Genomic DNA, 14,252 nt, shown 5'->3' on the forward strand with positions numbered 1-14,252 from the left:
CAATGTAAAAGGTAACAACAATAACAAAGTATAGAGGGAGAAATAAAAGTGTAGAGATTTTGTATATGATTAAAGTTGCTATCAGCTTAAAATAGACTATTATAACTAGATGATATTTTATGTCAGCTCTCTGGTTAATACAAATAAAAAACCTGTAATAGAGAGACAGCATATGAGGAAAGAGAAATCAAAGTATATCCCTCCAAAAATAATCACATAATCACAAAACAAGACAGCAAGAGAGGAATAAAGCCAATGAAGGAACTACAAGAAAGTCAGAAAATAATTAACAAAATGAAATTTACTTTAAATGTTAATGAATTAAATTTCCTAATTAAAATACATAGAGAGTAGCTGAGTGGATTTTTAAAAACCAACTATATGCTGCCTACAAGACTCACTTTAATTTTAAGAACACATCTACTGAAAGCAAAGGGATGAAAAACTGTTCCATGCAAATGGTAACGAAGAGAGAGCCAAAGTGGCTATTCTTATATCAGACAAAATAGATCAGTCAAAAACTGTCATAAAAGGCAAAAATGTTACTATATATTGATAAAAATGTCAAACAAAAGGATATAGCAGTTATAAATATATATGTAGCCAATATTGTAGCACCTAAACATGTAAAGCAAATATTAACAGATCTGAAGGGAGAAATAGAGAGCAATATAATAACATTAGGAAACTTTAAAATTCTAGTTTCAATAATAGATAAATCATCGAGACAGAAAATCCTAAGAAAACAGTGGACTTGAACAATGCTACAGAACAAATGGACTGAACATTTCATCCAACAGCAGTAGACTACAAATTCTTCAGAAGCACACACAGAACATTCTCCAGCATAGATCATGTTAGGCTACAAAACAAGTCTTAAAAAAATAGGAAACTTGGATTTACAGCAAATATATTTTCTGACCCATGGTATAAAGCTAGAAATCAATAGATAACTGACTGTATAAGGCAAAAATAACAACAATGTATTACAAGATTTATAACACACATAGAAATAAAATGCTTAACAAGAGTAGTACAAAGGTGAGCAAATTAGAGTTGGATGTCTTAATACATTTGCTGTAATATTCTCATATGTAAAATAGTAAAAGCACTTAAATGTTAACTGTGATAAATTTAAGTTGTATACTAAAGCCCTACAGCCACCATGGTAGGGTGTGGGTGTGGAGTTAACAAAAAATTGTAGCTAACTGACCAACAAATAAGCTAAGAAAATCATTTTTAAAAATTAGCTAATCCAAAATATAGAAGAAAAAAGGGAAAACTGAACAAGAACAGGTTATATAGATAAAAAACATCAAAATTCCAGATTCAAATCTAACCATATCAATAATCATATTAAACAAAAATTGTCTGAATACCTCAATTAAATGGCAGTCATTGTCAAATTGGCTAAAACAGCAAGACCCAATAAAATGTTGCCTATAGAAAACCAACTTAAATGTAAAGACACAAATAGAATGAAAGTAAAAAGAATTTAAAAAGAGAACTATAATGTTGACATTAATTTAAAAAAATAATCTGGAGTAACTTCATTAATATGGGACAAAGTAGATTTCAGAGTAAAGAATATTGCCAGAAATAAAGGGGCCATATCAAAATGATAAAGGGATTAATTCATTAAGATGATATAATAATTCTAAATCATTCTACACCTAATGAAAAAGCCATAAATCACTTGAAACAAACAGTGACAGAACTGAAAAAATAACTAAAATCCACAATTATAACATGATATCTTGACACCATCCCCTTAATAATTGATTGAGTATACAGAAAATCAATAAGAAAATAAATGACTGGAACCATACTATGACCTAACTGATGTTTACAAAATACCCCACCCAGCAGCAGTAGAAATGATTACTTTTCAGGTATGTACAAGACATTTACCTAGACAAATCTTATTCTGAATAATAAAACAAGTCTCAAAAGTTTAAAAAGACTGAATTTATAAAAGAATACTTTCTGACCACAGTGGAACTATATAAGAAAAATATCTGGAATGTCCCTAAATATTCAGAAAATGAATCGTAAATGTCTAAATAACCTGTGAGCCAAAAAAAAGATATAAATAAGGAAATTATAAATTACGTAAATCAGTACAAAATTGTAAACACAATATACCAAACCTTGTTGTATGCAACGAACAGTACTTAGAATATTTATATCACAAAATGCCTATACAGTAAAGAAGAAAGAGTTCAAATTAATAGCCTAATCTTCTCCCATAAGAAACAAACAAGTAAACAAACAAAAATAAATCATTAAAAACAACAAAGCAGAAAAAAGGAAATAATAATGAGCACAGCAAAAATTATGAAAAATCAATGAAACAAAAATTGGTTAAGTGGTATACGTTAAGGAAACTAAAAAATCTCTAGACATGCTAATGCATCAAAAAAAAAAGAATAGGCACAATTTTCAATTTACTGAGTGAAAACGTGACATTACTATAGATCCTACAGATTTCAAAGGCTGGAGAAATATACTGAACAGATTTATGCTATTAAGTTTCTTCAATTTAGATGGTATGAACAAAGTCCTTGAAAGATGTCAACTACCAATGCATGTATATATAAAGTATATATGTATATATAATACACATACATGTATTTATACATCTATGCATATATGATCATACATATTCATGTGTGTGTGTAAATATAACCTGAATAGCTTCATATCTATTGAAAAATTGAATATGTAATTTATAATTTTCTGGTGGTAACAATATTCTGGGACCACCAGAATATTATCTTCAAGGTAAATTTAACCAACCTTGAAGGATTAACACCAGTTATATTCAAACTATTCCATAGCATTTAAGACAAAGGAATATTTCTCAGCACATTCAATAATATTTAAATAATTATCATATTAGATGGGTACAGTGGATCATGTCTGTAATTCCAGCACTTTGGGAGGACGAGGCAGGCAGATTACTTGAGGCCAGAAGTTTGAGACCAGCCTGGCAACATGATGAAACCCAGCCTCTATACAAAAAATTAGCCAAGCATGGTGGCGCATGGCTGTACTCCCAGCTACTCAGGAAGCTGAGGTGAGAGAATCGCCAGAACCCAGGAGGCAGAGGTTGCAATGAGCGGTGATCATACCACTGCACTCCAGCCTGGGGGACACAGTGAGACCCTGTCTCAAAAAAAAAAAAAAAAAAATCTTCATTATCATATTGAAATCAATTGAGAACATTACAAAAAAAAAGTACAGATCAATACCCCTCACAAACACACACACACACACACACACACACACACACACACGTCTTAACAAAATTTTGGGAAATTGAAAAAAATATATGAATAAGGCGATTTAAACATCTAAGTAGTGTTTATCCCAGGAATTCATGGTTTGTTTAACATTAGAAAATAAATAATGTATCATATGAGCAGAATAAAAAGAAAAAATAGCCAGATCATATCAATATATGCAGAAAAGAAATTGACAATATCTAACATCTATTTCTAATATTTAAAACAAACAAACAACATCTCTTAGTAAACTAAGATCATGTAGAATTTCCTTAAATTGGTACAGGACTATAATGAAAAACTCTTTAGCTAACATCATACTTAATTTTAAAAAGTCCCTAAAATAACGAATAAAGTAAGGATGTCCATGCTCACCATTTCTATTAAACAATGTTCTGGAAGCTTCAGCTACTGCAACAAGGCAATATAAATAAATATCCAGAAAGGAACTATATTTTATTTTTATTCACAGACAACAAAATTGTTTCTATAGAAAACGCTAGAGAATTCACCAGTAACACTACTACAACTAAAAAGAGTGAGTTTCACAAGTTTGCAAAATAGAAACAACAGTAACATACAAGAATAAATTGTATTTCTATATAGTGACAATGAACAATTGGAATCTGAAACTTAGATAACATTTCCAATAGCATGAAAATATGAAATACTTATGGATAATTCTGATGCACAGGACCTTTATATTGAAAACTAGACAATATTTCCAAGAGAAACTATAGCATATATAAATAAATGAAAAATGTAACACATTCATTGACTGAATAGCTCAATAATGTTAAGATGTTATTTCTCCATAAATTCATCTTCCTATAGAGTACTTTGTAGAAATTGAGAAAGTGATCTTAAAATTTATATGGAAATTCAAAAAGCAAAGAGTCAAAATAATTTTGAAAAAGATGAACTGTTTGAGGACTGAAACTAACTAGAGATTTGTAAAGCTACAGGAATTTTGAAAAAAAGTGGTATTGGCATAAATATAGAGAAATATACCAATAGGACAGAATAGGGAATGAAGAAAGAGATATGTACTTATAATTTCCCTTGATTTTTGTCAACGTTACAATAGTAATTCATGCTACTTTTAGGTATTTACCTAAAGTAAGTAAAAGCATATTCCCTTATATAGACTGGTACATGAATGTTCACAGTAGCTTTATTTGTAATCCTCAAGTCCTAGTAACAGCCTCAACAACAGGCTAATACAGTTTCTGTAACACAGTAGTTGGTGTGTTGGGCCATCCCTCATCCCCCTTCAGTACCAGGACACTCATTTCAGTTCCCTAAGCTGTGGCCTGCTGAAGGCTCACAGCTGAATCCACACCCAGTAACTTCCCTAGGATTTGGCTAAAGGTAGTTGCCTAGTCCTGGCATCAGCCTACATTTAAAATCTGGCTGATAAAAGAGGGCAAACGGTGAGCACCTTCGCCTCAACTTTGGACAATCCTGACAGCCCCCTAAAGTCCAGGACTTCCCACAAAAGCAGCTGAAGCCTAGGTTGTGAATGCCTCTTATTCTCCATCTGCCCAATCCTTTCTTCCATCCTTCATATTTTGTTTCTAAGAGGATTTTCCCAAATAAATCTCCCACATGCAAATATATCTCAGGCTCTGTTGAAAACATGGCTCTCAGCCACCATGCATCAAGAATTAATGGTGCGCACTTCACTGCCTCAGCTCAAGATGATGTGTAATCATTTCTGCGCAAAGCCCACAGGACTAGTCTCCCAGCTCTGACTAACAGCAAGTAAGATAGGGAATGTGAGAAATAAATGAAACGTTCAGTAACCCTCTGTTTACCCTTCACTTCCTTGTGTCTAGGGATAACGTCTAATTCCCTGTTGTATCCCTAGTACTTAGTGAAATGTCTGCCATTCGCCAGTATTCAGTATATGTTCCCATTGACTAACAAATGAAGAATTTTAAGAACTGTTTACCTATTGAATTTAGTACAAAAAAGTTTCCAAAATGATAGTGAAGTTACATTACACGTTTATGTAATTGAAAAAATGGTGTGAAAAAAAGAATTTATTTTTAAAGAAAATATGAGGAATCTTCATTTTAAATCTGTAGAATTGAGACACTGGAAGGCTAACTGGATAGAAATAGTGCAGTATATGTTAGGAGAGAGATCAGGAATTGAGGTTAAATTACCAAAAGAGGTGATAATTGCAATGATGATGGGTGTATACAACTGCCAAAGTTACAGAACTTACAAAAGCTGCCAGTTTAAATATATTGTTAAGTGAAGCAGATGCTTGTTCTCACTATTGGTACTAAAATGTGTTAACTATTCAAAAATAAAATGTAATTCATCTCTATTAAAAATGATGAAGTACCCTTGAGGATAGCTTCATCAGATACATAATATTTATGAAGAAAATGATTTATCTTTAACATTCCCTGATTACCATCACTTGACTGGGCTCACTCCCTCACTAGGCATGTAAAGTACTCATTCTTTATACCAAAGCTAATTTGTGCTTGTTTTCATATTGCTTGGTAAAATGTTTTAAAACCATGCCTGTATGTATGCTATCTACCCGCAGATAATTTGGAGTTTCTAAGATGCTATTTTCTATTTTTCTTACTTTCCTTCAATTTAGTTTTGTTTAAAATTTATACTGGGCTTACTTAATGCCAGGCACTGTTCTAAGCACTTGGCAAATGTTTTCTCACTTAATTTTTATAATAATCTTAAGAGATGTGTACTATTATTTTCTCTTCCTGATTAAAAGATGAGGAAACTGAGGCATGGAGTGATTAATTTGCCCAAGACCACAGATCAAGTGATGAAGCTGAATTCAGGCACAAGCAGTCTCACCCCAAGCTCATGTCCATAAATACCATTCCTTGTATCCTTTCTATGTTTGGGCGGTCAACTACATGACCAGCCCTGATGAATCTAAAGGAGCCTAAGGATGCCAAGAAGAGCTAGTCATACTCTACCCTTGAGGATCCACAGGCTTACACCATCCCACAATTCACTGCAGTGTTCTCTACCCAAAAGAGAACCAAAGTAGCCTAAAACTGTCCTTTAGCTCCTTGTAACAAACCCATTAATCTCACAGAAAGAGTATTGCATTGGTATATACATAATGAGCAACATTAGCTAATACCCTGCTTTCTCATCAAATTATATCATAACAATGTCTACTTCTTTGAATTTTATTTTTGAAATAATTTTAGATTGACAAAAACATTGAAAAAATACACTGGGGGTTCCCATATACCCCTTCACCCAGTGTCCCATAATTATAAAATCTTGTATCCCATAGTACAAATAGCAACATATATAAATGAATGTTGATTGGTATGATATGATTAACTAAACTATGGACTTTATTAATATTTCATAAATTTTTCCACTCATAGATTTACTGCTGTTGTTCTAGGTTCCAATCCAAGATCTGGAATTGCCCTTCTTTGCTAGTCTCTTTAATCTCTTCCAATCTGTAAAAAAATCCAGTCTTTAGTTTTCTTTTATGAACTCAACACTTTTGAAGAGTACTGGCCAGTTAATTTGACATACATCTTTAATTAGGGTTTGTTTGATGTTTTATTATGAAGGTTGAATATTCATTATCAACAAGAGTACCACAGAAGCAATGTACCTGTCTCAGTGCATCATATTAGACTGTAGATGTCAATATGTCTTATTACTGGAGAACTGTGATAATCAAATGAAGGTGACTTTGCCTTAGTTTCTTGATTGAAAATATATTACTTTTTCATTTTTAATGAGTGATTTGAGACTATGCAAGTATCCTGTTTCTCTTCAAATTTTTGCTTACTAATTTGCATCCCTTGGAGGCTCCTACCCAAAACAATTACTACCCCAGGGTTCTAGTGGTGATTTTCTTTCTTTCTCTTCCTTCTTCATTTATTTGTTGAAATTCTTCATAAGAAAGAGCTGTGTATTATTCACCAGTTATTTATTCATTTGATTTATTTATTTCAGTACAGAATTTTAGATATTTATTTTCTTTGGAGGTTATAGTCCATTATTACTACTACTACAGTTTTGTGGTCCAAAATGTTCCAATTTTTAAAACTGACAACTCTGTTGGTTTTTTTCCTTGACCTTTTGACAAGCCACCCATCTTTTTTTGGAGCATATCCTTACTTTCTGGTACCACAAGATGCTCCAGGCCCATCTGCTATTTTTTTCTGCCCCACTTCTGGAATATACCACTTCTTCAAGATTGCTTTTATTGGTATTTGAGGCTTAGAAACAGAGATCTTGGAATATGCTATACTGAATGCTGCAGAGTGTCATTATTTCTAGGCTCTCTTAGCTGATAAAGTTTAGGAAATAGATGTCTGTATAGTAATTCGGGCTTACATATACACCCATATGTATTTCCTATCTGCCTATTTATCTACCCATCTATCTTCTATTTTCCATCCATCATCTATCTATCTATCTAATCTATGAATCTACTTATTAAAAATAAATCAAGATAATTCTGATACCTCCAATTCAAATCAAACATCAAGGGTTAATTCTAGCCTTTTCAAGGATGTTGGAGCTTCCTCCAACAGCAAGAATTTTGGCTGTAATTGCTACAATATATTTATTTAGTTGTTCTACCCTAGGGCCTGCTAGTTTTAGAATTGCTAACTCATACACCTGTGAACTATTTTCTAACTTGAATAGAAAATTTATGTATTGTACATTTTGACTTTAGTCTTAAATCACCCAATCAAAATCCTATTTTCCAGTGTTAAGTACGTTCTTTTATTTCCCTATATACCTCTTCATTGTATTATTCTCATTAATACAGTTAGTTCATTTGGTTTGGTTTGTGTTCCATTTTCTGAATATAGTAAAATCACCTTTGGGATACATAATTCTACTGGTTTCAACAAGTGCACAGAGTGGTGTATCTACTATCACAGTCATGATATAGAAGAGCTGGATCAACCCAGTAAATTCTCTTGTGCTGTCCCTTTATACTCAATTATACCCCCCATTCACTCCAATTTGTGAATATCACTGATGCTTCTTATCGTTTTCCATCCTATAGTTTTGCCTTTTCCAAAATGTCATATAAATTGAATCATACAGAATATAGACCTTGTTTATATCTTCTTTCACTTAGAAATATGCATTTATTACTCATGATATTTTACATAAATCAATACTTTGTTCTCCTTTATTGCTCAGTAGGATTCCATCGCATGCATGCACGCATAGTTTGTCTATCCATTCACTGGGTGAAGGCTATCATGATTGTTTCCAATTTGTGGTAAACATAAACGAAGCTGTTATAAGCATTCAGAACTCTCAAAGTGCACAGCTAAGAGACAGCCTGATAAATGAATAATTTTGTTGCAAGAATTTGCTGAACTAAAAACTCAATATTGGCAAAGGAGGAAACAATATCAGAGAGGTTCATTGATACCTAAAGCTACAGTTAGAAAGAGAGAACTGGGATTGGAATTGACAGTGTCTTTGAGACACTGGCTATGCAGTAGCTATACAGGTCATGTGAGTGGCTATACAAGCCAACCTAGGCTCAAAATGTGCAGTGATAGGGACTATTGCCTGTGATCACAAATTTTCGCATCTTTTATTTTCTTCAGTTCCAGCAGGTTCCCAGCTGCATTCCTGTTGCTAAGTGAGTCACTCTGAATATCTGAGGTTCAGTGCATTAACGTGGAGCACAGTGTTTGTTTTGAAAGTCATTCATGAAATAATAACCAATGTTCACCAGCACAATAAGTTCTATGAGCATCTAAAAAGCAGAAGTCTGCTTAATTAATGTGTGTTTCCCCAGGTATATATGAATTGAGAAAATTGTATTGTATCTGAGTCAATAAACACATTAAGCAGCAGCAATTATTGGAATGAGAACATTAAGAACAATGCAGTCTTAGATCCAAAGTTAGATGAGCCCATCAGAGTTCCAACTATTCACAAATGAGAAAAATTGAAAAAGCTCATGCTGCTATGTATATGTCACAAATAATTTGCAAATGCATTATTTTAGAAATCTTACCTGACTATGGTTTTCCTGAAAACCCTATTTCACAAACTTGTGTTAGAATAGGACTTGAGATGCATTTAGAAGAAGTATAGTTTCTTTGGCTTTGTTTGAGGTAGAATAGAAAGAAACACCAGGATATGACATTTAGAAATGGCCTATCTTCAGATGTAAAGAACTATTTGGGTTAATTTTTTAATTGATAATTTGATGAGATTTAGGGATATTGGCAGTGAAGGGATAATTGCAAGACATTAAAATTGTGGAGAAACAAGCTTCTGAAATACTTAAAACTGAAATGAATAGTCCTGCAATAATTTCCCCCTCTGATACAGAGTAAAGAGATAATCAGTAGTCTGTGTTTTTCTTTCTCCTCACCTGCCTCTCAAAATATCACAGGTTTTCTCATCACAATTGTATTTCACAGGAATGGTGTGAAGATAAGTGAGTTACCATTTGTAAAACACTTTCATGTCAGAGGTGCTACACTTAAAGATAGTGAGAAAGTAGAAAGAAAATAGGTGACAACTTGTTGAAAAATCTGTCATTGTCCATTTATGGATAACTTCAGGGTGGCTCATGGTAAAATCTTCACCCAAAGGTATGTGAATCTATTTGCACAAAGTAGCATGCTGAGTATTGTACAAAGCACACTAAACATCTTTTAAGTCACTTTGAAAATGGCAACAGTCTCAGGGAGGAACATACAGAAGGCTATGCTGCTATGTTGATACATCTAAGACAACTGAGAGAAAAAAATATGCAGGGTAAAATAAACTTCCCATTACAAAAGCAACAAAGAAAAACACAAGTTAAACTTTCCTACATGTACTGCAAATTTAATGGGTCTAATGCAGTTTTTGCTTGTTCTCTAGGGTTCATATCTTCAGTAATTACTGCACTCAACCATTCAGTCTTCCAAGTTAGAATGAATGACTAAGCCATGATTCGTTTTTCTTGCTTTGATCTATCAGCCACTAAATCCTGACATGTTCCCCTCTAAGTCTTCATAAGAGATACTGCTATACTCTTTTACAATTTCTAACAACTCTATAACTATTTTCTAACTGGCATCTTTGCCTTTAACTTATTTAATCCTCTGTATTAGTCCAGGTTCTCCAGAGAAAGAGAACTAATAGAATACAAATGCACATAAAAGGTATAATGTGAGGAGCTGGCTTGCATGGTCATGGAGGCTGAAAAGTCTGCTATCAGGAGGACCAGGAAAGCCAGAAGTGTCATTCAGTCTGAGTGTGAGAGCCTGAGAACCAGGGGAGCCCATGATGTAAATCCCAGCTGAAGAACCAGAGAAGAAAAGATAAGATGTCCTATGGGTGTCAATGTGTGTGTGGCAGGTCTCTTGAAGACAGCATACTATTGGGCCTTAATTTTTTATCCAGAGTGCTGCTCTGTGCCTTTTAAATGGGGTCATTTAGTTCATTTACATTAAAGGTTAGTATTGATATGTGTGGATTTGTTCTGGGTGACAAAGTAATCTGTACAGCAAATCCCCATGGACTTGAGTTTACCTATAAAACAAACCTGCACATGTACCCTTCAACCTAAAATAAAAGTTAAAATAAAAAGATGAGATGTCCCAGCTCAAGCAGTGATGCAGGAAAAAAAACACACATTTTCCTTTATGCCACCTTTTGTTTTCTTTAGATTTTTAACAGATGAGATGATGCCTGACCACGCAGGGGAGGGCCGTCTATCTCATGGAGTTTACCAACATAAATGTTATTCTTGTCCAGAGACACTCTCACAGATGCACCAACAGGCAAGGTTTAATCTGGGTTCCCCGTGTCCCACTCACCATTGACACACCATTAACTATCACACTCACCAACTCTACAACTCAGTCTAATAACTGTTACCAGAATTGTACTGGCCCACACATGTGTGCACTTGCACACTGTTAAAAGAAAAACTTTAGCCAAACTAAATTTAAAAGAGGGTAATTGAGAAAAGAATGATTCATGAATCAGACAGCCTCCAGAACCAGAGTAGGCTCAGAGACTCCAGTGCAGCCACATGGTGGAAGAAAATTTATGGACAGAAAAAGGAAAGTGATATACAGAAAACAGAAGTGAGGTACAGCCAATCTGGCTGTTTGCCTTATTTGAACATGGTTTGAAAAGTTGCGAACTTTTCATTGGCAAAAACTCAGTGATTGGCACAAGAATAGGCTACAGTCTGTTTACAAGTCCATTTAGGTTATAGTCACAATGTACACAGAAACCTTTACACCAAACTTAATATATGTGAGGAGGCAGCTTTAGGCTAAAATTGATTTAACACACACCATTCCTGATGCCCACAAAATGACTCTGCTGATGCTTTTTCCCAATATAATCGAATTTGGGAACACTAGTCTTGCAGTCTAACATGTTTGATCTTCCTCACTTGTCTCTGAAACTTGATCTCTTACCTCTCTCCTACTGTGAGCTAAGTTCTATCGATAATGAGGAATTTGCAGTTCCCAAATACGTCATGCTTTACTGACATTATGATCTTTGAGCTGCCTTTTCTTCTGTCTGTAATACTATGTTCCTATTTCCTCAAATGGAAAAAAATCCTCATCTTCGTTGGGTTAGGACATTATCTTTTTTGCAAAGTTTCTCAGGACTCAGATTTCCCTCTTTTTTTCTGCATCTTTCTTTGCTATTTTACTTATTGCACTGTATTGCAGTTACCCATTTATCTATGTGTGTAAGTATGTGCTTATGTTTTTCTTTTCCCACCTTGCCCGCTGTGAACTCTTTAAAGGAATGGAAGTGTATCTCATTTCTGTACCCCTGGAGCCCATCACAGGTCCTGGCACATAATTTATGTTCAATAAATATTTAAGAAAGGATGAAAGAGAAGGAAGAAGTACAAGGAAAGGAGTGGGGAAAATCAAGGAAGGGAGGTAAGGAAGGCAGGGGAAGTATTTCCTTTATAACTATGACACTTGAAACTCAAATATATTTTCCCTAGGAAACACTATTATGGTAGCCCCAAATGGGAATTAGATCACAACAAAATTTACTTTACCAATTTGTTTAGTGCATACCTGATGTGTAATTTGCATGAAGAAATGTAACACATGAAAGCAGCCCTTCCTTATAAAAAGGAAACTGTATGATGACATGCAAGGCGCAAGATCTGGATTCATCATTGATTGGAAATTTGAGATTGGTAAGATGCTGTAAACAGCCTTGAGATAAATTATTAGGATAGTACACACAAGACGTTTCATTTTCACTAGAAACCATATTTCCTATTTATTGTAACATTTAATCATGTATTTTGTTGTTACATTTGGAAATAAGTTTTGCCTAACATGATAGATTGATGAACCAAATCACGGAGCTATCCTCTAAGGCTTTGTCGGTTTATAAGACAGAATACACTTCTCGAATCTGAAGCATATAAAACATAAATAAATATGTGCATTTTGAAACGCATTTTGTTTCCCTTATCATGAGTGATACTGGTTCCCTAATAGAGGATTCTATTTAAAATACACAGAATATGGAATTAAAGGACCTTAATGTTGATAATTATAACCAGTATTTGAACACGATTTTCAGTAACTATGTCCTTTTGGGGTCTTGGGATATCTTTAGGCAACAATCTAGCATACAAAGTATATGATTTTTAAATTAATATTATTGTATTTCTCACAATAAAAGATAGTGCTTGAAATTCTTCTAGCCGGTTCCAAAAGTAATTCTGGACTAAGATTATATAGAAAAAAGAGAAAGTCCTTCTCCCATGTCACAGTTTATAGAATTCTGGGTGAAGATTATATAGAAGAAAGAGAAAAAGTCCTTCTCCCATGTCACAGGTTATAGTACTTCAGTGTCAACTCCTGCCATCACTTTTACTTTCAAGAATTTAAGAGCCTAGCTAGCTGACTAAAGCAATCTTTACATTATTTAGTGAAATTTGCTCACATGATTAAGGAGGCTGAGAAGTCCCACAATCAGCTGCCTGCAAGCTGAAAAGACAGGAAACCTGGCGATATCAATTCAGTCTGAATCCAAGGGCCTGAAAAGCAGAGAAGCCAATGGTGTGAGTCTCAGTCCAAAGACAAGAAATGACTAATTCCAGCTCAAGCAGTCAGACAGGAAGCAAAAAGGGTGAGTTCCTCCTTCTTCCACTTCTTGTTCTATTCAGGCCCTCAACTGATGGATAATGTTATTGGTGTTACTGAGTGCACCAATTCAAATGCCATTGTCATCCAGAAACACCCTCACAGGCATATCCTGAAATGATGTTTAGTCAAATGTCTGGGCAGTCCATGATCTAGTCACATTGACACATAAAATTAACCATCACAGCTATGAAGCCTCCATATAAAGTAACTTTAGTGTCTTTCCCATGTCCATTACAAAAAACAGTAAAAAGTATAAAAATTATAGGTAAAATTTGCACACCTCTTTCAGGAATACTGAAAGGAACATACTTATAAAAGTGAATAGCAAGTATTATGGTGAATCACTCAGGAATTGAGGTGACTCACAGAGGAGACTCCTCGATACTCCTTTGTCCAGTTATGATGATAAATTGACTATAGCAGCAGCCATGGCCAGAGAAAGCTTTGGTGATGATAGTGGCTCATTCCACTAGGCAAGCCACATAGACCAACAGAGCGGGCAGCTGAGGGTGACGAGAATTTAAAATAAGCAGGAGAGTAAGGGAGGAGATAAGTGTTGGCTTGTAAGCTGCAAGCAATAAGAACTACAGTTTATCCAACTAACATTCCTCTTTTTAAGTTGCCCAGGAAGAGAGGCCAGACATAATCTTGGGGGAGCTGTTCTCAGATGGGGTGAATATCCCAAACAAGTAGAATCCAATGTGCAGGAGGTAAACTGCAGGAGGTGCTTTGGTGGCCTCCAGGAGACCAGCCATCTTTAGAACTGAGACACTCCTGTCACCTCTCAGCCTGACTCCTCCTTAGGAGCTGTCCT

At 34.6% G+C, this 14,252-nt stretch overlaps 1 long non-coding RNA gene across 5 annotated transcripts in view; it reads right to left on the reverse strand.

Moving 5' to 3' along the window:
* LINC02663 (long intergenic non-protein coding RNA 2663) overlaps positions 1 to 14,252 on the reverse strand; it is a 434,814-nt gene that overhangs the window by 329,656 nt on the left and 90,906 nt on the right. For all 5 annotated transcript variants that reach the window (XR_930643.2, XR_930644.2, XR_930645.3 and 2 more), the window contains one exon: positions 13,236 to 13,329. This is a non-coding gene — a long non-coding RNA (long intergenic non-protein coding RNA 2663). The remainder of the gene's footprint in view (positions 1 to 13,235; positions 13,330 to 14,252) is intronic.

Source organism: Homo sapiens, chromosome 10, assembly GCF_000001405.40.
Source record: "Homo sapiens chromosome 10, GRCh38.p14 Primary Assembly".
NCBI classification, from domain to species: Eukaryota; Metazoa; Chordata; class Mammalia; order Primates; family Hominidae; genus Homo; species Homo sapiens.